Source organism: Homo sapiens, chromosome 10, assembly GCF_000001405.40.
Source record: "Homo sapiens chromosome 10, GRCh38.p14 Primary Assembly".
Lineage (NCBI taxonomy): Eukaryota > Metazoa > Chordata > Mammalia > Primates > Hominidae > Homo > Homo sapiens.
Genome location: NC_000010.11, coordinates 60,557,236 through 60,584,248, shown reverse-complemented (window position 1 = coordinate 60,584,248; position 27,013 = coordinate 60,557,236). Strand labels below are relative to the sequence as shown.

Genomic DNA, 27,013 nt, shown 5'->3' with positions numbered 1-27,013 from the left:
TAATAATAAGCCATTTACTATTTAGCTTAAAAACAACCAAGTAATTGGTCCAGCCTATGGACCTCTTAACCCTAATTCCCAATCTTCCTCTCACCTACCTCTGAACTTCTGGTAAGAAGTGGAGGTAGAGGGAGTTGGTCATAATTAGGATGAGATGGGCTAAGGTTAAGGAAAGGGAAGGTTTAAGATAATAAGAACCATCATCTTTTTAAAAATGACTGACACATAATCATACATATTTTGGGGGTACAATGTGATGGTTCCATACATGTGTAAACTGTGTAAAGATCAAATTAGGAAAACTAACATATCATCACCATAAACATCACTTCTTTATGATAAGAACATTTAAAATACTTCTCTGTGGCTGGGCGCCGTGGCTCATGCCTGTAATGTCAGCACTTTGGGAGGTCAAGGCAGGTGGATCACGAGGTCAGGAGTTCGAGACCAATCTGGCCAACATAGTGAAACCCTGTCTCTACTAAAAATACCCAAAAAATTAGCCAGGCATGGTAGTATGCGCCTGTAATCCCAGCTACTCAGGAGGCTGAGGCAGGAGAATCGCGTGAACCCGGAGGCGGAGGTTGCAGTGAGCCAAGATCGTGCCACTGCAACCTGGGTGACAGAACTGGAGCGCCACTGCACTCCAGCCTGAGTGACAGAACTGGAGCGCCACTGCACTCCAGCCTGGGTGACAGAACGAGATTCCACCTCAAAAAAAAACAAAAAACAAAAAACAAAAAACCTCTCTGTAAGCTATATGGAAATATATAATACATTGTTCTTAGCTCTAATCATCCTGCTATGCAATAAACCACCAGAACTTATTCCTCCTATCTGACTATAGCTTTATACCGTCGATCAATGTCTCACTATCCCCCTTCCCTCTTTTCTTCCCTATCCCTGGTAACCACTATTCTACTCTCTACTTCTATGAGAATAACTTTTTAGATTCTACATATGAGTGAGATCTCATAGTATTTCTCTTTCTGTGCCTGGCTTATTTCGCTTCAGGTAATGTTCTCCAGATTCATCCACATTGCTGCAAATGACAAGATTTCATCCTTTTTTTATGGTTGAATAGTATTCCATTGTGCATATGTACCACAGTTTATCCATTTATCTGCTGATAGATACTTAGGCTGATGCCATATCTTGACTATTGTGAATAGTGCTGCAATGAGCTAGGATTGCAGATATCTCTTCAACATATTGATTTTATAACCTTTGGATATATACCTAGTAGTGGGATTGTTGGATCATATGGTAGTCCTATTTTTAATTTTTTTAGGAACTTCCATATTGCTCCTTCCATAATGGCTGTACTAATTTAGAGTCCTACCAGCAATCTTTTCTCCACATTTTCACTAACACTTGTTATCTTTTGCTATTCTGATAGTAGCCACTGTGACTGGAGTGAGGGGATAAGATCAAACGAAGAAGCTTCTACACAGTGAGGGAAGCAGTCAACAGACAAAAAGACAACCTACGGAATGGGAACATATATTTGCAAACTATACATCTGAAAATGGGCTCATATCCAAAATGTAGAAGGAATCAATATATTTATATTTTATATAATATATTATATAAAAATAATATATTTTAGGAATCGGAAGCCAACATGAGAAAAGGCTGTGGCTTGTCCAGAGCCACATAGTGACCTTGAGGTGGTACATCTGCCTGAAGTCCCATTGGGCCTTGGTGACCTTGGCCTCTTCAGCCCTTTGCTCAACTCTGGCACATATTACAGGAATAATGAATATTTGTCAAACTGGATTGGGAATGTGTACAAATCTAATTATATGAGGGCATCATTGAGTTTCAGACAGAAAGAGAGGAAGGAAGGAAAATTCAGGAAACAATTGGAACTTCAGTAGAAATGCCTCAGGAAGATGTACTGCCTCAGATAGATGTACTGCCTCAAGGTCACTTTGTGGTTCTGGATAAGCTGCAGCCTTTTCTTCTTATTATTATTATTATACTTTAAGTTCCAGGATACATGTGCAGAACATGAAGGTTTGTTACATAGGTATACATGTGCCATGGTGGTTTGCTGCACCCATCAACCCATCATCTACATTAGGTATTTCTCCTAATGCTATCCCTCCCCTAGCCCCGCAACCCCTGACAAGCCCCAGTGTGTGATGTTCCCCTCCCTGTGTCCATGCGTTCTCATTGTTGAACTCCCACTTATGAGTGAGAATATGCCATGTTTGGTTTTCTGTTCCTGTGTTAGTTTGCTGAGAATGATGGTTTCCAGCTTCATCCATGTCCCTGCAAATAACATGAACTCATCCTTTTTTATGGCTGCATAGTATTCCATGGTGTATATGTGCCACATTTTCTTTATCCAATCTATCATTGATGGGCATTTGGGTTGGTTCCAAGTCTTTGCTATTGTGAATAGTAAGCTGCAGCCTTTTCTCATGTTGGCTTCCAATTCCTAAAATATATTCCAACAACTCATCAGCAAAAAAGCAAATAACCTGATTAAAAAATGGGCAAAATGGCCGGGCACTGTGGCTCATGCCTGTAATCCCAGCACTTTGGGAGGCCGAGGCAGATGGATCACGATGTCAGGAGTTCAAGACCAGCATGGCCAAGATGATGAAACCCCATCTCTACTAAAAACTACAAAAAAAAAAAAATAATAATTAGCCAGGCATGGTGGCAGGTGCCTGTAATTCCAGCTACTCAGGAGGCTGAGGCAGGAGAATCACTTGAACCCGGGTGGCAAAGCTTGCAGTGAGCTGAGATTGTGCCACTGCACTCCAGCCTGGGCGACAAAGCGAGACTCTGTCTTAAAAAAAAAAAAAAAAAAAAAAAAGGGCAAAATACCTGGATAGGCAGTTTTCAAAAGCAGACATACAAATGTTGAACAGATGTGTGTAAAGATGCTTGGTACCCCTAATCATCAGATAAATGCACATTATGAACGACCTTTATATTTTGGTGGTGTGCGAGAAATGGCCTGCTGAGGTTTCTATGTCAATGCTGTCTCTCACACCACATCAAAGTGTAAAATGGGGCTTCAGTTTTTAGACAGAATGACACTTTTAGTGTAGGACAATGTCCAGCATGACACAAAACTCTGTAACTCTGTTGCTTGTCAATTTGTTGATTCAGATGGTATTTATAATGCACCTCGTCTGTACCAGGCCCTGTGCTGGCACATAAGACATACATATGAGTTGATATAAGCTTTGTTCCAGGAGCTTACAGGCTATGCATGTTTATTAAGTTTCAGAATATTGTACTGCATCAGAATATTGGGGATAGCATTTTCAAAGACGATAAAAGTTTGCCTGGACCTAGATGTGACCCTCTTTGACTACTCTGTCTTCTCCCTTATAGGTAGAGAAAGCAAGCTTGTAGTTCATTTCTTTCATAATTTTTTCCACCCTTCAAGCCTGAAAAATGCCTGGCCAGCTGGGCTAGACCAGATTCCCTGCGAAGGTGTTCTTTTCAGTTATTTGGGGACATTTTCAGTTTCTGAGTGAGCATATCTTTAGTTTGTAAGTCAAAGTCAGTATAAAAGTTGGGTTTGTTTTAGTGAAAAAAAAATTTTATACACTATGTTACAAGAGTTAAATAATAAAGAATACTTGTATACTGAGGTTAATTATTTGGAGAGATTTCTTAATAACTTTGGAGGATTTTGTAGTGAATAATCCCAGAGGATAAATAAATTTTCATACAGAATCATATAATCATTGTCTCAAGCTAACTTTAATTTACATGGAAAATTCTTATTTTAAAATTCTTTTATAGAGGTGGTTAGAAAAGGGCAAAATTTGAATATGTTTATAATAGCAGTGGTAGGTTTGAGTTAGCTAAAGACAGTATACCAAAGAAACCATGGTGTTTATATGCTGGCTGTCATCTGAACAGGACTTTATAGAAGCTTATTTAGATATCACCTGTGGCTCTCCAATCACTTATTCATTTCTCACTTTGATTTAGAATAGAGGCTGTGTCTTCTTTAGTCCTCTGTTTCTTAGACTTAAAAATAAGTCCATCCTCATTGATTATCTTGATAGACTAAGCATAGTTATGAAAATAAAATTTACAAAATAGAAAATAAGTAATGGACGTTATTAGTGAATATGAAGAATGTGAAGAAATATGAAGAGTGTTCTACCAGCCAAAGAAATGCAAATTAAAACACAGCATAATATTTTTTTCTTATCAATTTGGTAAATATGACAAAAGATTGTTGCTAACTTATGTTGATGAGGTTATAAGCAAACACACATCCTTATACCTCATTGAGGAATGTTTAGATTGATAATGAATGGTAAACTCCAGAGGAATGTCATTTTCACTGCTGATTCTTATAGGATTTTCTGAATCATTTTACCATGTCTTAAATGTACGAATCATTTAAGATTAGGGGCATATTTGTGTGTCAAAAGCATCAATATTACAAATAATTAAAGGATAATTATAAAAGGATTGACGTCCTGCAGTCTGTCACTTTAAGAGGAATATGTGTTCTCAGTTATTTGGTTGGAGAAACTTGGGTCAAGGACCATGACAAATCCAGAAGACTATATGACAATCAGTATACACTTATTTTAAAATTAAGGATTTTACCTTAACTTTATAATTATGACTTCCAACTACTCTGAGGGTTAATAATGACATGATGAAAATATCATTGGCTAGAACCTGGTCCTGGTTTTAATGTCAGTATCATTTTTGATCATGGGGCTGAGGCAATATTTTGATGTCACAGGTGAGGGTACAAATAAGGCAGGAGCTTCTTAGAACAGCTTGCATAATCTTCATTCCATAAACTCCCCACTTCAATAACTCATTCCTCTTTCATTGTAATTTCTCCTATTCTCCTTTATTTTATTTATTTATTTATTTATTTTGCAACTAGAAATATCTTTTTTTTTTTTTTTTTTTTTTTTATTGAGAGAGAGTCTCGCTCTGGTGCCAGGCCAGAGTGCAGTGGCACAATCTCAGCTCACTGCAACCTCCGCCTCCCAGGTTCAAGCGATTCTCCTGCCTCAGCCTCCTGAGTAGCTGGGACTACAGGTGCGTGCCACCACTTCCAGCAAATTTTTGTATTTTTAGTAGAGACGGGGTTTCACCATGTTGGCCAAGATGGTCTCGATCTCTTGACTTCATGATCCGCCTGCCTCAGCCTCCTAAAGTGCTGGGATTACAGGCGTGAGCCACTGCGCCCGGCCAGAAAAATCTTTTAAGCTCATTTTTTTTTCTCCTGTTCCTTGAACAAATGATTTCAGGCATCTATGCCAACAATTATTAAGCAAAACCAAATAAAAGGTAAGAGATATCCAGACGTACTCATCATTATATCATGTTGGTCTTAGGCAAGGTACCATTAAGATTAGAAAAAAGTTTTAAGATACTAGGAAATATCATTTAAGTTAAAATTTTAAGAAATCTAATTCCTTTTCTAATCCCTTTTATTTTAGGAGATGAACAAATAAGGGTCTTGATAGTTCTATGTTGTTGGAATATGGAGAGTTGGAAAGCTGCTGTGTTGGATGGATATTTGATAATAAAGAACTCCAGTGGAGCTGTATCTGTCCATCTTTTGTACGACTTTTCCACAGCAATAAAAGAAAGCCAAGCAGAACTACTGACCCCATTTCACTGTGGACTCAAATATAAGCAGCCTTAGTTCTTAGTCATTTTAATATGAGCATTGCTGGAAATTACCTTTTACAAAGCAAGGGAATATCTTTAGATTCTATCATCATCATTCTTTTAAAATCATTTAGGATCTTTATTATTATTAAGTAAAACACATGGATTTAGGGAAGATCAAAGGAATGACTCATCAGTTCCTCACCTCACAAAAGAATGTATATCTGTCATGTAAATATCACTGGGCCTCTAGAGAAAATTGTTAGCCCAGTGAAAGAAAATTACACTGCTCAAAAAACCATACCAACAAAAATGCAAAGGTTCAAGGAAGTAAATAAACAAAAAGCAAACCATGCATTTAACAGCTATGTGTCTTTGAACATTCTGTGTCTCCCTATTTTACTAATATACTTTTATTATATCATTGTATTTTAATGGGCATATGGCTGAATAACCAGGAAAGAAAGAAAACTCGGAACAAAACAGGAAAATCCTGCTATGGACCTGGTTGAAGTGTTCAATGCATTGTCAAAAATGAATCTAGTGTATCAAAACCATACTGTCACAAAGAGTATTGCTTACAGTTAAGCTAGGTTTAAAAATTTCTATCTTAATTTACAAATGATCATTAGATATGGCAAAAATCATTGTAGATATTTGAGGATGGGTTGGAAATTGCAACTCAATTCACAATCTCATTCTGCTTCACCTTATGCCCCACACCTATCTGAATTTCCAGTTGCTGTAAGAAGATGTACCAATGTCACTGTGATCATTTTTCAATATGAAGACTCAAAGAAGACTAGAAGCCTAATATATAGAACATGTTTCTTCAGATGCTTTCATCACATTAAAAATACCAAGACATTTTATAAAACTTAATGACTTTTATACATACTTGTGTTAGTCTGTTTTCATGCTGCTGATAAAGACACACCTGAGACTGGGTACTTACTAAAGAAAAAGAGATTTAATGGACTCACAGTTCCACATGGCTGGGGACGCCTCACAATCATGGTGGAAGGAGAAAGGCACATCTTACATGGTGGCAAACAAGAGAGAGTAACAGAACTTGTGCAGGGAAACTCCCGTTTATAAAACCATCAGATCTCATGAGACTTATTCACTATCATAAAAAAAGTGCAAGGAAAACCTGCCCCCATGATTTGTTACCTCCCACCCATCCCTCCCACAACAGGTGGGAATTGTGGGAACTATAGGATTCAAGATGAGATTTGGGTGGGGAGACAGCCAAACCATATCAATACAATTATACGCTGAGGCTTTAGTATTTGTAAATCTTTTCTATGGCCTAGAAGTTTAGGGCCCCAGGAACATCACTTGAGATAGTGGGCAAGCAGGAGAATGAAAGAGTACTGGTGGATGTGGTGGAACTAACTACAAGACCATCCTTAGCCTAAGACAATGCCAGCTCTGTGGGAAGAAGAATGGCCACCTATTCCCTCTCACTCTCTTTGTACTGTTCCCTTCTCTGATGGCATTTGCACAAAGTAGTGCAAAGTAAATACCAAAACCCCACAGGGAAGTTTTCATGAAATGCACCTGATGGAGCCTAGTTACTTTTTTCTTTTTCAAATTGAAAGTAAATACATAACTATTAAGGACAAGTTTGTTTACCATTGAATATCATCTCAAATTTCACTGCTAACTTGACATTCTCTGGGAGATACTGGTGTAGTGCAAAGAAAGCTCTTCAGAGCAGTTGGTAGAATTGCTTCTGGTACCAGCTATGCTGTGAACTGGCTAGGTGTCTCAGGGGAAACCCTTGCCACAGGTGGAGGAAGAGGGCACAGCATCTCAGTGTTTCACTTAGCTCTAAAGATTCCTTTGTTTTCAGAAAGAACAGCTTATTTGCCTGTGGATTTGTCTTTCACTTTTACAAGTATTTTAAACATTGATGAATGGTATCAAGGGAATGCTGTTAGTAAGATTTAGTAACTATTTTAACTTGCCAACTAGCAGTGTAAATTACAGTAAGTGCATGACATCCTAACCTTAAAAATAAAATTAGCCTATTCATATAGGCATTTCTGCTGAATATCAATGGAAGGTTGTTGCTTCGTTTTGTTTTACCTTTAATGTGATATACCTTCATGTCAGTCAAACAATTGTATTCAGTGTTAGTGTTTTCAAGTGAATTTTATGCGGAAGATAGCTTAAAAAAATTTGCTTCCTAATAACCCCAACCCTGTTATTTCTCCTATGGCAAGCTACTTTCTGTTTTAAAAATAGATCTGTTCTACGAGACTTCAGTTGGCCCTGGTTGGTGTCCTCTTATGCGAGTTATTTAATTTAAAAATAGAACAGTCTCAGATCTGTATCAACTAGTTTGTGATGACTTCTATCGGGAGTGAACTCTAAGTAGGCAGTGAATTCTGTGGAGTTAAGTGTGGGAACATTATAATCCAGTCGTGTTTTCCTCTTTGGTGAACTGATAGAGCTTTGCATCCAAATTGATATTTTCCATGTATTCAGCTTATGTTTTTTCTGAGGTTAAATTTAACTTCCCCAAGAGCTGAGGGAATTTTATAATTTGGGTGGAAAAGAGATTACCGCCGCAAAGTAGTTAACATTTAACATTTTTGAAACAAGTAATCACCCCTAGACTGTTTTTAGGTCAATCAAATTACTCTTTTACACAGAGCAATTTTAATTTAAAATGCACTGGCACACCTTTGGGCATATTAAAACAATCATTATTTCTTTGAATGCGTATTTCTAGAGTAGAGGTGTAGAGAAACATCATTAAATAATAATAACTAATACCTTTTCTATTAAAGGTAAGTTGTTTTAATTTTTCAACCCTTAAATGAAATTTGCCCTATTTTATAAAGTGAAGATATGTTTTTACATTGTTAGAAATTAAATTACTATTGATTTTGTGATGATTTAAGGCCTTAACTCTAGCATAGGAGCTCTTTTGGCCTTAACACAGTTTCAGAGATGTAATTCTTTGTTTCTTTTAAAAAGTCTGGAACTTATCAAGTTACAGAAAATGGACATAAAACATGTTATATGCCACATAGTTTTATTATTAAATTATAACTTTAAATGATACATTTTGCTATCTAAATAATTTGACATATTTTAAACATATTCTTCAAAACTGGGTTTTCTGTCAGACCTGATTAAACAATGTGACATCTTGAAATATTATTCAAAGTCACAAGTTCCTCATCAGGAAGAATAATTCCTTCTTAAAATGATCTTTTGTAGAATTTTGCCGTATAATCCAGTCTTCAAACGTCCTTTTTTTTTTTCCATCCAACCAGCAGAGAGCACTTCAGCTTGTAATACGAACCTTACATATACAAATGAATACAGCCAAGATCATGCTTTATCAAAGAAATGGGCGAACAACTACCCTTAGTCACAGGTTGATTCATTTCCTGCCAATTCATGTTTATTCGATCAATTTCCTAAATTTTACATTAATTTAAACACCCGTTTATAGTTTAAAAAGAATTTTATAAAGACATTTTCTTCAAACATATTCTTGTGCTATGCCCTTGGCCAGACATATCATGTTAATTGTATTTTGTATATTTTATAATCCCAATTAACTTGTAAATTTTTATGTAAATGAACTAAATTTAATCTCAATTTTTATACCCCCTCAGTTGTTTTTGTTTGCTTTTTGTTTTTAAAGAAAGAGGCCCATGTTCTTTGGATAGTCAGTAAATAGTTGTTGACAAAGGCTTCTTTTGGGAGGTAAATCCTACTGCTTGGAATCTACTATAGACAAATTACTTTAGGTGGATGTACTATCTCTGTTGCTTACCTAGTAAAGAATGTCAAGATTTAGGTGGGAAAGTCAAAATTGAATCCACCTGCTTAGACTCTTCAGCTTATGAAGAATTTGTATAAAGCACCTACCTCATCCTCATCCCTCAAAAGACACACGACTAATAAACAAGGTTCACCCGATTGAAGTCAATGAGCGGTAGAAGCAGTAAAGGTACTGCCAGTTCCCCAGATTTCCCTGTGTTTTGAAGATGAGCAAGGGTTGAATCACTGAAGAACTTGAAAGGTTTATTTTGCCGTCTTGAGATGTTCTGCCTTTTATATTGCATGACAAGAGGAATGTTACTGAATAGTGGCAGAAAATGGAAACTGTGGTTAAATAGCAGTTCAGTGTCTGAGCAGAAATGTAGAACATGATGATTAGATGCCCAACACCATTCAGAATTCTGGCCATCCCAGACTTACTGAGATGTGTATTATTATAATTAATGCGCACACCTCAAATAGAAATTAGCTCAAATAGCTGCCCTGTGGTTGGTAAAATCCACGTGGCTCTCTGAGCGTGTCACTTGAATCCCTATGCTTGGCCTGCTCAGCCCTGGGTAAAGCATCTAAGCATCCCTCTAACTCATGTCTTTCTCTGGGACTGGTGTTTCAGGTGTAGGAGAAGGAATCTTGGTTGAATATGGACACAAACCCCCTTTATATGCTAGGTAAAAAATGGGGACGATTTCAGCCTCAACAGATCTGTTCTTTTGGTTTAATATTTTAGCGTCATGTCCTCAACCACTGTTAAGTCCCCCACACATACCATTGAAAAATTAGCCCTCTGTGACTTGTTTTTTCCTGTATGGCTGTGTTTTACATTCATTTGAATCCCATTTCTCCTGAAAAAGTTAATATTCATTTGAATGCTATGTCTCCTGAATAACAATGTTACTGTGTGTGGAACTGATATGATTTATTCCTGGCTCCCAGCCCCTAGGAATGGACCTGAACCCTCTCTCCCCTTCTTTCTCCCTTTCCCACTTGTTACCCCACTCTCACTTTGTACTTCTGTCAGTTATCTGCTCAAAGTGCTCTGTTTTCATCTTAGTGGTTGTCTGTGGTTGCTCCTAGAACCTTATGCTTTCCTGAATCAGAATGTATCTGGCATGCTTCTAAAGATGCTTAAATGACAGCTCATAATAGTAATTTGGCTGTGTTTAAATGGATGGAAGGCATGGTGAGGGGGTTTCCACCCAGGTGTGAAATACCCCAGACACTCAGAAAATAACCAGATTCCTGGGGCTCAGGATGGCGTGCAGTGGGGAGTGTGGGCACAGTGTGTGGCCAGGGCAGCTGGGGAGTGTGTAATGTGATCTGAGACCTGCACTGCCCTAAACACAGTCAAGAAGCACAGAATGTTTCTGCCACAGAGACAGCAGCTTTGCTCTTAGTATTTCCTGAATATTCTGGAGGGTTTCTTGTTAGTTGGTTGGTTGGTTGGTTGGTATATTCATGGAAGGAAACCAATGATTAAATATGAATCATGGCAAATTGGGTATGGGGCTTTCCGTCATAAACCCTGCATTAGAAATCCTTAGGTGAAGATTGGCATCTTTTTTGCATGTCACATTAAAAAAAAAAGAGTAATCATGGAGAAAATCTAGCCTGTGATGTGACTTCTCCAGTAGTGGTAGGTCTCTTTTATTGTTTGAATCATTGAATTTTTTTTTTACAGACCAAGTAACCTGATCTTTTATCACTCTCCCGACTGCCTCCTCCGGTATGCCCTGATGCATTCAACACATGTGTTAGTATGGGAGGCTAGCAGCACGGAGAGCAATTTACATTCAGCTTCCCAGCCTGCTAGAAGCAGCAAATCAGCCCCTGGGAAGGCTTCGGAGACTTGTCAGCAGTCTGTAGCTTATTTCTGTGTGTGTGAGGGTGTGTGTGTGTGTCTCTCTCTCTCTTTCTCTCTCTCTCACCATTTCCAGGCTCAAATCACTGTGGAGGAACAAGCAACAAAGTCTTGTCAGGACCTTATCTCAGGGTAACGATTAGTTAAAAATGAAAGGCTAAAATATTGATTTTCTTTAGAAGAATAATTGACTGTTTGATATAGAGAACACCCAGTTTCTTCCTGAGGAAAGCTGAACAGGGCTACATTAGCAGCCCGCGTCTCTCTGACAGCAGCAGGGGCTGGGTTTAAGCAGCGGCTGCTTTGCCTGGGGAGCACCCGTAAATGGACTTTGGTCTCAATGCTTTGACTCTTTGCCGTGGTTTTGGATGTTGGAATACCGGCGGTGATCTGTCTTTTATAAACTCACCTGATTTAAAGGAAAGATGAGTGAAGAACCAAAGGAGAAAAATGCAAAACCTGCTCATAGGAAAAGGAAAGGAAAAAAGGTAAGAAATGAATAAGCAACATGTTCTCTTCATTGTTCTCTGGCTCTGGGGAGGAAGTGATCTTTAGGCTGAATTTTTAAGAGATTGGCTTTAGATTTTTAAGAAGCTGCTAGAATCTGAATGCTTTTGTTTTTCCAGTCTATTAATGGGTGTGTTCTGTCTTGGAGGAAAATCATCACAACTCGGATACACTGCTAAAATATTTAAACAGTTAAATACAGTCATTTAGATTTCACTGACGTGGTGTGTTTTTCATAGTGATATTCAGGATTATTAAGTAAACACGTCCTAATTATGTGGGTGGGTGTGTTTTTTTCTCCTTTAAATTTCACAGAATGCTCGTTAATCAACAGGGTATAATTACTAATGAATATTATTATGGTATAGATGTTTAGCTTTAACATATATTTTAGGGAAACTTAGAGAAACCTATAGTTATACTTTAAAATTACAGCATGGAGGTGAACTCCATTTTAATTATTGATCACTTTATGGCTGACAGATCTCAGGTTTGCATTCGACCCTGCAGTCATACAGCCATATACCCAGTTTGTCTATTATAATCCAAAAAATTAATTTTGTTTTCCATGTAAATTGAGGAATCATCAATATATTAATAGATGATTATGGTAAACCTGTAGATTCATTTTGGTTTTCTTGAATGTGTATATCTTCAAAGGTGCTCCTAACTTTTTAATTCATTTTGAAATGGGGAAAAAAGATAATTCTCTAGATCTGTCATTTGGTTTTGATCCATTGTGATTTATAAATTGTCTTGGTTTTAGGGTGTGCCACCAATGGAAAAGACAGTTGTGCATCTGTAACAAAGAAAAACAAATATCTAAAATAGGATTATAGCTCATAGATATTTAAGGAGAATGTGTGCTGTATTTTAAAATCTATAGTCAAAATCTTCAGATATAATATTTTAATTACTAGGACTCATATATAATTTTACCTCTTTAAAATGCTTCCTTGGCCCAATGTAATGTATGCTCAGACAGTGGACACATACAGAATGGTGGCTATAGTAGAGAAGATAAAGATTTCAGCTACTCGTGGAATATATCAGGCGTTTAAAAAAATGTTCATAATCTGTTTATTATTAATTAAAAGGTTAATTTGAATATGATGTTCTTAAGGGACCTACTACCAGCAGACTGTTCTGAGGTCATGTCTATGTACATGCCAACATTCTAGGGCAGTGGTTCAATGTCTTCCAGATAGTGAATCTGTGCAGACTGGTTTTAAGTCAGCCTTGACTTCTTGTACATTGCCTTGGCAAGGGTTGATGATGTTGCAAAGGTGTTAGTCTGATTTCCCAAGGGAGCAGGTCTCAGCTGCACAGCACAAATGATTTGTTTAATGCCTAGCATAGTGGCACTGGTCTCAAAAAAAAAAAAAAAAAACCTGTCAGGTTTGCTCATGTTTATAAGATATGGCTTTAAGTGTCTTGACAGGCTCCACCATGATTCTGAACATAGAGTGTCATAGAGAGCCGAGACAGACACATGAACCACGACGGTGCAATCCATATTAGAGTGAGCAGTGGCTGGATTCGTTGTAAATCATCGAGCTTTTATGTGGAATCCTTTAACACGGGCTTTTTTTTCCCCTCTCTCTACCTTGAAATTTTCCCAGCTGTGTTCCATGTCTCCTCATATGAGGTTATCCTGCTCAGAGCACAATATAAAGTCAATTGCTTTGAGCCCTTCTTCCTTCATTCCACACTCTCCCAACTGCTGCTAGGGCACTCTTAATGAAAGCTTTGATCATCACCCTCTGTCTAGTACCTTCTAAACTCCTTACTGCCTGCTCAGTGAATACCAAATTCCTGACCATAGGGCCTGAAGCTCTCCAGTCTAACCTGTACCCACATTTCTGTTTTTTTCCCCCTCATTATATTTCATTCACATCTGACTCTATCCAGACCAGGGTTTTTACCAGTCCCTGAATTAAATCATTCTTCTGATGCTTGTTCTTTGTCCATTGAGAATGCATTTCTGTGCCAGCCCACTGGGTGACATCCTACCCATCCTTGAAGGTCAAACCCATATCTTGCCCTCTTCTTGAAATGTCTTGATTCTCCCTAGTTGGAAGTTAGTCTTCTGGATGAACACAGCACCTTATACTGTCTGGACACTTAACACATTCTGCTTCTTTTTCAAGCTATCAGATACCTACTTTATTCTCTTGACCACATTGAACCTCCTGATATTTTCCTCCAAAAGCACTCAGCATGCTGCCTTGTATGCAGTTGACACTAAATAAATGTCCCATTGAATTATCTCTACCAGTTTACTGATCAGAGTTTACTAAGAATTTTCAGTGTTAGAGCAGATACATATCAAAAAGTAGATATCTTTCAAAGGAGTAGGCCTTTTCTCCCCATATTTTCTGGAAAAAGGATACAATATTTTGTTGCTGAAAAATATGTATACATATATATATACCTTTTTATTCTGAAGCAAATATTCCATAAGTTTTCTGGGTGCTCCAGATGACCTATACTGAAGCAGGGGAGGGTGTGGTCAAATAAAAGCATTTCAGGTGGGAAATATAGGCAACCTGCCAAACTCTGTGGCAACAAGCTCCCCAAGCATTCAAAATATTTCCTAGTGACATATGGAATTATTTTAAAACAAAATTTAGTGTGACATCATTTTCCATAAAAAAAATCTATCTTAAAATGGCCTTTAAAATTATGTGTTGGTGTTGAGTGTTTTCAGAAAAACAGATCACATGCTTAGGGCATTTGGGTATAAAGTCTCTCTTGAGACATTTAATATGGAGTCATCAAGGTAAATGTGATGGAATCATATTATTCCTCTGTTAGCGCATAGTATTTTTGTATTTTGATCAGGAATATAATGATTCAAGTTGGTGTTAGGAAATGCTTTTTCTAATAATTTCTGTGTTTTGTTCTGGAATGTGAAGAGGGTGTCTGTGTGTATCCATATTCCATAGCTGTTTATGTCAACTTATGCTAGTTATCAAAGAAGGATTTGCTTGAAGAGACCTGGGTGCTCTTGTAATGTTGCTTCTAACTTGATATCTTGTCTTGAATAGATGAATCAAACTCTCTTTTTCTATAAAATGGGGATCATGTACCTGAGGCAGCTACTGGGGATACTAGGAAAGTAAAATAAAAATAATCAATAAGACCGTATTTTTTAAAGTTTTTAAAATGATAACACCTAACCTCGAAGTGGTCATCATGGTGGAATTTCAAGCTTGATGTAGAGTAACTGATCCTATAGAAGAGATGACACAGGATAACATATTGCCCCCTCTGATATTATACTGCAGAAGTGCTTATTTTAACCAGCTGCCAAGAATAAAATGTAGGAAGTGACACTTAAAGATTTTTTTTCTTTAGCATCTGTATTAGCTTGGACTGACATTAAAAAAATACAATAGACTAGGTGGCTTAAACAACACAAATTTATTTTCTCACAGTTCTAGAGAATGAAAGGCTGAGATTAGGGTGTCAGCATGGTTAGTCCTAGTGGGGACACTCTTCCCAGCTTGCTGATGACCATCTTCTTGCTATGTGCTCACATGGCCTTTCCTCAGTGTGTATCTGTGGAAGGAGAGGCATCTTTTGCTCTTCTTTTATGACCAGCAATCCTATCATATTAGGACCTCATCCTTATTACCTTATTTAACCTTAACATACACATACAGTCACATTGGGGGTTAGAATTTTAACATATAAATTTGGGGGGTTGAGGGGAGACACAATTTTGTCCATAGCAGCATCCAAAGAAGGGTATACTATCCAGGTTCACAACTTAGGTGTGCTTAATAAATCATGTGATACTGACTGAAATTCTATTAATTCAATTCACTTAGCAGATGCTACATAGGGGAGAGCCTTCAATTACTGGCTAGAGCCAGCTACAGGCATACCTCACAGATATGGTAGGCTTGGTTCCAGACCACTGCAGTAAAGTGGATATCACAACTAAGCAAGTCATGCACATTTTTTGGTTTCCCAGTGCATATAAAAGTTATATTTGCACTATGCTGTAGTCTGTTAAGTATATCTATTAAGTACGTGTTTTTTATGTCTAAAAAGGCAATGCACATACTTGAACTTTCTGCGAGTCTTAATCTTTTTGCTTGTGGAAGTTCTTTTTTTGATGTCAGTGGCTATTGATGGATGGTGGTTGCCAAAGGTTGGGGTGGCTGTGGCAATTCCTTAAAATAAGACAACAGTGAAGTTTGCCACATTGACAAACTCTTCGTTTCGTGAAAGATCTCTCTGTAACATGTAATGCTGTTTGATAACATTACTCACAGTAGAACTTCTTTAAAATTGAAGTCAATCTCAACATCACCACTGCTTTATCAACTAAGTTTATGTAATACTCTAAATATTTTGTTGTCATTTCAACAATGTTCATAGTGTCTTCACCCAAGAGTAGATTCCATCTCAAGGAACCACTTTCTTTGATCATCCATAAGAAGTAACTCCTCATCCATTCAAGTTTTATCATGAGGCATGTCATGTCTTCAGGTTTCTAGTTCTCTTGCAATTCAATCATGTCTTCAGGTTTCTAGCTCTCTTGCTATTTCCACCACATCTGCCGTTATTAATACTTCCTCCATTGAAGTCTTGAGCCCCCAAAGTTGTCTATGAGGATTGGAGTCAACCTCTTGCAAACTCCTGTTAATGTTGATATTTTGACCTCCTCCCAAGAATCACACATGTGCTTAATGGGATCTAGAATAGTGAATCCTTTCCAAAAGATATTCAATTTACTTTGCTCAGACCCATCAGACAAACAACTACTTATGGCAGCTATAGCCTTAGAAAATGCATTTCTTAAATAATAAGACACAAAAGTTGAAATTACTCCTTGATGATGGGCTGCAGAATCAATGTTGTGTTAGCAGGCCTGAAAACAACATTAGTCTGCTTGTATATCTCCATCAGAGATCTTGGGTGATCAGGTGCATTGTCAATGAGCAGTAATATTTTAAAAAGAAATTTTTTTTCTGGCCAGCAGGTCTCAACAGTAGGCTTAAAATATTCAGCAAACCATGCTGTAGACAGATGTACTGTCATCCAGGCTTTGTTGTTCCATGTATATATCACAAGCAGAGTAGATTTAGCATAATTCTTAAGGACTCTAGGATTTTTAGAGTGGTAAGTGAGCATTGGCTTCAACTTAATGTCACTAGCTACATTAGCACCTAACAAGAAAGTCAGCCTGTCCTTTGAAGCTAGGCATTGACTTCTCTGTAGTTGTGACAGTCCTAGGTAGGATCTTCTCCCACTACAGTATAGGGCTGTCTTGCCTACACTGAAAAATCTGTGGTTTAGTGTAACCACCTTCATCAGTTTTCTTTGCTAGATCTTCTGGATAACTTGCTATAACTTCTAAATCAGCACTTGCTGCTTCACTTTGCACTTTTATGTTATGAAGACAGCTTCTTTCCTTAAACCTCTTGAATCAACCTCTACTAGCTTCAAACTTTTCTTTTGCATTTTCCTCAACTTTCTTGTCTTCACAGAATTGCAGAGTCGGGGCCATGCTCTGCAAATGCTGTGGCTGGTTTTTGTTTTGTTTTGTTTTTAAGAGACAGGGTCTCACTCTTTGTTGCCCAAGGTAGAGCACATTGGCATGATCATAGCTCACCACAGCCTCAAACTCCTGGGTTCCAGCAATCCTCCACTTCAGTCTTCCAAGTAGCTGGGATCACAAGTGTGCTCCACCACAACTGGCTAACTTTTTTATTTTTGTGTGTGGAGATGAGGTCTCACAATGTTGCCCACACGGGTCTTTAATTACTGGCCTCGAGCAATCCTCCAATCTTGGCCTTCCAAAGTGCTGGAATTACAGGTGTGAGCTCCACCATGCCTGGCTAGTGGCTGGTTTGATCTATCCACAGCACTCAGACCTTCTCCCTAGCAGCAATAAGGCTATCTTGCTTTCTTATCATTCATGTGTTCACTAGAGTAGCACATTAATTTCCTTCAAAAACTTGCTTTTTGCATTCATAATTTGGCTCACTAGTGAAAGAGTCCTAGTTTTTGGTCTGTCTCAGCTTTTAGCATGCCTTCCTCACTAAGCTTAATCATTTGTAGCTTTTGCTTTAAAGTGGAAGATGTGTGGCCCTTCCTTCCCTTGAACATTTAAAGGCCATTGTAGGGTTATTACTTGGCCTAATTTCAATATTATTGTATCTCAGGGAATAGGGAGGCCCAGGTAGATGGAGAGAGAAGAACATGTCAGTGGAGCAGTCAGAACACACATACAACATTTACTAATTAAGGTTTCCATCTTATATGGATGTGGTTTGTGGCTACCCAAAACAGTTACAATATTAATAGTAACTTCAAACATCACTGATCCTAGATCACCAAATAGATATAATAATAAAGAAAAAAATTGAAATATTTTGAGAATTACCAAAATGTGACCCAGAGACACAAAGTGAGCACATGGTGTTGGAAAAATGGCACTGATAGACTTGCTCATTGCAGGATTGCCATAAACCTTTAAGTTGTAAAAAATGCAATATCTGCAAAGCACAATAAAATGAATCGTGCTGGTATGTTAAACCAATCTGTGTAGAAAGTGTTAAGGGAATCAAATAAAGCTGAATTCAGGCTTTATTGGTGGCAGAAAGGAGGGAGTGGTAACTTCCATTTGGAGGATGAAGTCATGAAAGGATAGTCAAAGGCATGCTTACATTGAGATTAAGAAGATATGTGTTTCCCAGATGACAGAGGATAAGAGTGTTCCAGTTAGAGAGTGTGAGATGAGAGAGAAAATGATTCAGAGCTGCCTGGTGTAAGCTTATGAATCTAAGCAATGGTTTGTATATTTGGACTATAGAGTGCAGGGGTGAGTTACGGCAAGATACAATAAAGAAGAAAACAAGGACCATCCCAAGAAATTTTAGTTAACAACATCATTTTCGACCTGGGGTTTCCCAAAAGGACTTGAGCAGGGAAGTATTAAGGTCAGACATAGTTTATAGCAGGGGTCCCCAACCCCTGTGACGTGGACTGATATCAGTCTGCCCTGTTGGGAACCGGGCCGCACAGTGGCAGGCAAGTGAACATTACGGTCTCAGCTTCACCTCCTGTCAGATAAGAGACAGCATTGATTCTCAGAGGAGTGTGAACCCTATTGTGAACTGCACATGCAAGAGATCTGTGTTGTGCACTCCTTATGAGAATCTAATGCCTGATGATCTGAGGCAAAACAGTTTCATCCTGAAACCATCTCCACCATCTGTGGAAAAATTGTGTTCTATGAAACTGGTCTCTGATGCCATTGGAGCCCACTACTTCACAGGAAAACATCCCAACTATTTGGTAGAAAGGCCAGGTCTTTACTTTTGTACCATCATTTATCTCGTAGGACTATATGTTCCATTGGACCATGGCCCAGAATATATACTTTCATTGTCAATGATTACTGAAGACTTGGTCCCTTGAGTGCTTCATTTAGTGATTATTTTTTAAGGGGCAAATTGGAGAAAAATGTTTATATGTTTAGGATTCTACTAGGTAAGGAATTCCACTGCAGTGAGTTTGCTTATTTTTTAGAGAATGTCAGAAAAAGGATTTTCACTATTTCAGTTCAGCTGCCTTTTCCATCTTAAGAATAAAAACTAACTTACTTTATTTAAACTAGTGTTTATGGTTTGTGTTTCTTCTAAGGGTAGACTTCGTAACTGTATCTCATTCTTTCTTTTTCTTTCTACCAGACCACCATAGCTTTGCCTTATGTGTGAGAGCTGTACTTGTTTCCTCTCTGATGAATCTCACATTATCCAAACATACATTCATTTTTTAAGGGCGAGTCAAAGGAATGTCCATTTCTAATTTTCATTCCCTGTTCTTAATGCTGCTGGAATTATATTGTATTCTTATCTGGTCCTGGAGTCTTTGATTAGGGTGTCTTGAAACACACCATGCCCTCTTACTAAGTTGGTGGTGTGCTGGCAGACCTTGAGCACACGGCAGTTTCATTGACCTATAATTTTCATTCTCGTGTTTGGACATTGCTTAATTTGATTGCTACTGCTCTACAGGCAAATAACCTTTTGAAGTCTTTTGTTGTTGAGCAGGTGATTTGAGTAATGGTGTACTGAGCATGGTCACGTGTTCAGTGCATTGTTTCTTCTAATGATACACTCCATATCAAGAGGCATGTTAATCCTTTTCCATTTTACTTTAAACATCATTGTTGAATTTTTTTCTCTTAGTCTTACATAGCTATAAATTTTTTAAAAAATGTTTTCTGCTGGGCTGTTAATTTTATTTTTATAAATGCTATCCATTTTATAGTCAGTAGGCATTCAAAATGATTCAATGTCTTGTGCATACACATCCATGAAACTGAAATTTTGACTCCTCCAGTACTTAATTTGAAATGATTTTTTTTGAACTTAGCATTGGAATTTGCTTATTTTAGTACAAAAATTTTTATGTTGTCTTTGCACAAGGTGATTGTGCACTTAGAACTTTCTTTTTGTAAGGAGAGATTGGATGAACCTGGGATATTACTTCTTGATATCAGAATTTCATAAAATGTTAGACCTGTAGTATAATATCACCTTTTAAAAATCAAACTTAGTGAGATAGATTTACTGGAGATTTTCTTCAAGCTTTTTATTATAAAAAGGATGGAAAAAACATGATATAAATTTATTTTATATATAGTAGCCTTGGGGCATAGACTCTGAGCATGGCTTCAGACTGAGGTACTGAAAATCTCTTCTCCATAATTTCAAAATCCAAAATGAAAAACTGAAATTTTTTCCTTAACTTCTTTGGCGGCAAAATCTGACCTGACCTGAGCACATTTGGTAGCAAAACCTGATCTGACCTACGTGAAGCTATTTATAGTCTTTATTCATCCTACTTAGTGTGAGTATTCATATGTTTTGCTGAAAAAGTAAAAATTCTTTGCTTATGGGATGCTGCCCCAAGACACTGCTGGGGATGTTCATAATATTTATACATACCTTTCTAAGATGAAAAAGTTCTGAATTCCAAAGCTTGGCTGGCTGCAAGGATTTCAGATCATGGGTTGTGAATCTGTATTGAGTTCTGAGCTGGGACTGGGAGCCAGTAAGGTTAGCTTGGGGTGAGAGGAAAGGGGCTTGTTTTTGTCCTTAATAAATTCCAGATAAAGTGGTGCTCTGTAATGCCAAGCACTATAGCAAAGGTCTGTAGTGCAGTTTTCAGTTTGGTAGGAAAAATATTTCTAGAAGCACTCTAACAGAAAACTGCTTGCTTAATCATAAATCTGAACATTTGGACCAGGTGGTTTTCAAGATGATATTTATAAAGCTTGGTTTTTTAAAAACCCAGTGAATTTAATGAATTGTGATTTATCAATAACAAAAGGAAAAAAAGAGTCCTGATTACTATTCTTGAAATTCTTAATTTTTTGTTGTTCATAATCATTTGATGAGTTTATAATAAATAACTCTGGTATATATTTTCTGAAAGAAAGGATATAGACTTTGGGGGGGATATAGACTTTGTTGTTTGAGTCATTGTACCTGCTTGCCAAGAAAATAATGTTAATCATATGAATAATTAATATTGCACGATTAGCACATACAATGGAGTTCTTTGTCATCTGTCTCAAACAAAAATTCCCATCTATGGATATGACTTTTATGCACTTTAATTTTTTTTAAGTTTTTAATGCATTTTTTTTCTGTCTGTTAGATGATGTAATTTATCCCATGGCTATGTTAATAGCTAAAAATCTAGAAATTTCTTTCAACCTCTATTGATTTTACAACCTTTGTCTCTGAAATCCTCTGTCATCACCAGGGAAGTAACAGAAACAAAGCGTATTTAAACCATGGTGAAACCCTGTCTCTACTAAAAATACAAAAAATAAGCTGGGCGTGGTGGTGTGAGCCTGTAGTCCCAGCTACTCTGGAGGCCGAGGCAGGAGAATCGCTGGAACCTGGAAGGCAGAGGTTGCAGTGAGCCAAGATCACGCCACTGCACTCCAGCCTGGGAGGCAGAGCGAGACTCCATCCCCCTACCCCACGGATGCCCCCCCCGAAACAAATGCTCCCTTAAGACATATTGTTAACATTTTTAGAGATGCCATTAATATACTAGCTTTAACAGCACCCATAAGAAAAACAAAACTTTAATCAATTATGAAGTTTTAATGCATAAGAAGAGTTTTGATAGTGAAATTTGGAACATTAAGCAATTTGCTGAATGCAGGCTGTCTTTGTAGACAACCTTAAAACTTTCATCTTTCACTTCTAACTCACTAGTCTTTTAAGTTATATATTCCATGAGATATGTTTGTTGGGCATTTCTACCAAGTGGGTGTTTTAAAATAAGCGTAATGATGCAAAACTATTTAATAGGTCTGTTTTATCATTTTGATTCTGCCCCAGTGCCATACCATTGATTCCTTCCTTTGTTTTAAGCATTTACTATTCTAGGTGCAAGGAATACATGAGTGAACATGGCAGACAATAAACATACACAGTGCATAACTAATGCTAACTATCACTAGTTATCACTAGTTAAAATTACACAAGAGGCTGCTACAGTGGAGAGAGGCTAGGGCTCAGACACAATTCATGATCAGAGTAGCCAGGGAAGGTCTGGCTGATATGACTCTTGAGTGGTGAGTGTGCTCAGTCACCACAGGGACTTGGGTCCACTCTGGAGAGAAGACACTGCAGGAGAAAGGAATGGCTTGGGAAAGGCCTTGTGGTGCTCAGGCTCTGAGGAAGAAACATCATTTGACCTCATCATGGACTGTCCCAGTTGGCATGAACTTTAAAGATTTCTTCACACACTCCTCAAATGTTTATTTTATTTTTTCTTCCCAGAATCCAACCAATGTTTTGTGAATTTTAAACGTCACGAAAAATATTTTAGGGTGTTAGCTGGGGATACATGATACCTGAACAGTACAGCATCCTGTGAATTTTTGCTGAGTGAATGAATGATGAACTTTTATTTTACTTTCCACTTTCCTTGTTAGCCACTGTGCCTTATGTACGTGAGGAATTTTAAAACTTCTTGCAGGAAACCACATCTCTCAAGCCTCCATTTAACAATTACTTTCCCCCTTGGTACCCAGTCTACTCAATAAAACGGAAATAAAAATATGTACATCAGAAACTTAAACCTTGATATGATGCTTATGCATGATAATTTTTGCAAATGATATCAATGAAGCTTATGAAATATTACCTTGGAATACAGGCTGCACCACTCCATGCATTTGTGTCATATTTAATGTCAGCATTTTGTGTGTACTTAGTGAAAAATTAAGCAATAATTATAGCAAACCACGCTAATTCCTTGAAACAAAGCTTAACCTCCACATAATTTCTGAGAGCATTGTGCAATTTCCCATTGTTATTTTCATGATGCTAACTTATTTAGTTTTTACATACAGTGATTTTGCCACTAGATAATTTACCTTGGCATTTTACAAAGTTGAAAAATCTCTTTGGAATATTTTCATATTATCTTGAGTGATGATTTCTGTTTTTTCAAGCCAGTTCATTTTAACATAGCAGGAACATCAAAAATACAGAAGTTGAACCACGGTGGTCTATTAATGAAAAAGATTTTATGTATAATTACAGGTAATTAAGTGAATCGTGTATTCAAGCAAATATTTATGAGTTAACTTCAAAGTTTCTTTTTAAAAACAAAAGCAACTGTGGTTGTGATTTTATGGGTTCTCATCCCTATCCCCCAACAGAGATGCCTATCAGAAATTTAATGGATTTCCTCCTACTACAAATGTGGTGTTATTTCACTGAATCTGTTTTGGACAAATAGAGAAGTTCAGGAAACAGCTTGGTTTCAGACATTTGAAGTTCCCTGTTCTGACCCATTAAGCAGCACTTTTTCTCCGTAACTGTTCTCTATGTCTTAAAGTTAAAAATTAAAGTTAAATGTCTTATAGTTAAAATTTAAAAATGTACAGGGCACTTATAAAGTTAGACTAGCAATATGCTCTAGATTCCAGCTTTTAAAAAAATTGCCACATATGGCTTTTGATGAATTCAATTATGTGAACGAGCTTGAAATAGGTGCTAGTACCAACTTATACCAACACATTAGTCCTTAATTGAGAAGTTTTCACTGTCTTTCATAGAATTTTGCTATTTTAGGGAATTTCTAGAACAAAGCTCTAAAAATGAAGGAATGACCTTGATATCATCAGAGTGTAAAAACTACAAAATATTAATTTTAATTGCTTAAATGACAAATTTTCTTTTAATAGTCCACTTGATGAAAGTGCTTTTAACCCGAATACCTTATCTTTGTATAAAAGGTTTTTTGGAGGTAAACTCTAGATATTATATATAAGTTATAAATATGCCAATTATATTTTTCTATCTCTCTCTCTCTCTCTATCCATCTATCTATCTATCTATCTATGAATGACAGATTCTCTGTCACCCAGGCTGGAGTGCAGTGGCGTGATTTTGGGTCACTGCAACCTCTGCCTCCCAGGTTCAAGCGATTCTCCTGCCTCTGCCTCCTGAGTAGCTGGGATTATAGGCACCCACTACCATACCTGGCTAATTTTTGTATATTTAGTAGAGATGGGGTTTCACCATGTTGGCCAGGCTAACATTTTTCTTTTTAGATAATTGATGTACTGATGTGGTTGTATTAAACTAATGTGTCAATATATGCCTTTTGTCTGCTACTTATAGAAGTTTTCTAGAATCTTTAACATGGAGATTCTTCAAAACATTTTTTAATCATGGGCTTGTGGTCGAAAGAAAAATACTCTGCACGGTGACCTGGAAAGAGCAGAGAATGGAATCACATATATTAGAGTTTGAATTCTGTACAACTGTTTAAAAGCTATTCAAAGTTTAAATTACTTAAATTTTCTAAGTCCTTGTTTCTGTAAAATAGGGATATTTTGTCTACCTAGAGCCTTAATGTAAGGATTAGAAACAGTATATGTCAAGTAGCTAGCACAGTTTTTAGCAAAAAGTAGGCACACATTCATAAAAATGAATGAAATAATGGCATTCACGGCAACTTGGATGGAATTGGAAAGCATTATTCTAAGTGAAGTAACTCAGGAATGGAAAACCAAACATTTTATGTTCTCACTCATAAGTGGAAGTTAAGCTATGAAGATGCAAAGGCTTAAGAATGATACAATGGACTCTGGGGACACTGGGGAAAGGGTTGGGGGGTGGTGAGGGATAAAAGACTATACAATGGGTACAGTGTACACTGCTTGGGTGATGGGTACATCCACATCTCAGAAATTACTACTTATTAATGTAACCAAACACCACCCGTTCCCCAAAAACCTATTGAAAATTTTTTTTAAAAAGAAGGCATGGAGCATATAGTAACTATTGTTCTCATTAGTGTTAAAAGCATTGCTAGCATAAGAATAGATTTTGTGCTACTTATCACATTTGATAAGAAAGGAAATTTGGGGGCCTATAAATACAGGTCCTTGTCTCCCAAGTCAGAATTTTTGCCATCCTAATCTGACTTGCTTTATTTTCTTCTTTACAAATCAGAATAATTTGTTCCATGATGGTAAAAGTAATATGTAATGTTGGTTCCTTCCTCCCTAATAAGAAAATTAGAAATTTGTCTTTTGAGCTGTACAAATATTATCTTATAAATTGCTTTAGAAAATTATATATTTACTCTATCTCTAGGGAAATTTTGATTCTGGAACAAATTTACAGAACATACTGAATTATATAATCATAAAAGTTGGCAGAGATAGTTCTTAATATATTTGTGTAAGATTAACTTCTGATGATACATGTTAGATAGGATTTGGATTATTAACATAAGTATATTAGCATAATAGTGTATATTTTACACATATTTGTGTTCTAAAAATCCTTGGCACTCTCATTTATTTAGGAGGAGGGAATAGGGTGGTATATAAGAGAGAACTATGCACTGAGCGGTTCAAAGTCTTGGTTAGTTGTCTTGGCTGTGATGTAATAGTAGCAAGAGGTAGTGTGCTGCAAGGAATATGAGATTCAGAATCAGGTGATGTGGAATTTCCCATTGCCATTTATATGACCACACACAAATATCACTGTTTTCTGCCATGAATACCTAGCACCTACTTCAAGTTGTTACAATCTTACAAGCTTAAATTGCCACAACTGTTTGTATTTTAAGACAATATACCTGAAAATATAAAAATGTTCATTGAGTTTACTGTGTGACATTGAACTGAAACTCCCATTTTCTAATATCAGAAATGCGGTTGAATGAGATGATACTTGTGACCCTTATGGGTTTTAAGAGAGTACTACTCTATAAAAGGTATTGAATTCATCTTTTCAAAGCAATGGGTAATAGGTGGGGTTTGCTGCATTGCTGTGTGTTTGCTGAAGAAGGTGCAAAGGCCTAGGAGAACCTCTTCTTTGTAGTTGCTGTCTTCCATTCAACATCTCTACCATTACAGTGTCTCTAACAATACAGCCACCTTGTTTACTAATTTGTGTTCTAGTTTTTGTATTTTTATCATTGAGATGCAAAGAAAACAAGAAACGTTTCCTAATCTTTTCAAGTAGAATTTCAATTGCCATCCTATATTATATTTAATAACAACAATGCAGTGAAGTGTTTTGAATTTTAAAATCGTTTTTAAAAGAACACCCCGTTTAATGTCAAAGTAGTTGGACCCTTTTATGTCTGGGCCTTTTATAGAATTTCCCTCTGGGGCATTTTGTCAATTGCTTACACGTAGGTCATGGGCAATTTGTCATTCTTTTTAAATTGTGACAAAATACTCATAACATAAAATTTACTATTGTAATAATTATATATTATATTGCAAAATACATTGGTTACAATATATATTTAAATATACAGTTTAGTGGCATTAACTATATTCATGATGTTGAGCAACTATCACCACTCTTTGGTTCTAGAACTTTCACACCCCCAACAAAAGCCCTGTACTCATTAAGTCCCTCCAAATTCCTCCCTCTCCCCAGGCTTTGGCAACTACTAATCTGTTTTCTTTCTCTATGTATTTTCCCATTCTTGATGTTCCATATGAATGGAGTCATACAATATTGTCCTTTTGTGTCTGGCTTCTTTCACTTGGCATGTTTTTAATGTTCATCCATGTTGTCACATTTATTAGTGCTGCTTTTCTTTTTTTAGCTGAATAATATTCCATTGTATGGATGTTCCACATTTTGTCCATCTGTTGATGGACATTTGGGTTGT

The 27,013-nt window shown here is 37.0% G+C and overlaps 1 protein-coding gene and 1 long non-coding RNA gene across 3 annotated transcripts in view; both read left to right on the top strand.

Annotated features, from left to right (window-relative positions):
- The window catches only part of LOC124902430 (uncharacterized), a 33,828-nt gene extending 28,271 nt beyond the window's left edge, over positions 1-5,557 (top strand). Inside the window, exon 2 of the long non-coding RNA XR_007062150.1 lies at positions 5,454-5,557. This is a non-coding gene — a long non-coding RNA (uncharacterized LOC124902430). The remainder of the gene's footprint in view (positions 1-5,453) is intronic.
- ANK3 (ankyrin 3) overlaps positions 1-27,013 on the top strand; it is a 707,231-nt gene that overhangs the window by 149,280 nt on the left and 530,938 nt on the right. The window contains exon 1 of one of the 2 annotated variants that reach the window (NM_001204404.2): positions 11,293-11,784. The exons of the other annotated variant lie outside the window; for it this stretch is intronic. Coding sequence (NP_001191333.1) covers positions 11,722-11,784 — 63 coding nt within the window. The 5' untranslated portion in view covers positions 11,293-11,721. Of the gene's footprint in view, positions 1-11,292; positions 11,785-27,013 lie in introns of those variants that run through there. 2 annotated transcript variants of the gene reach the window in all.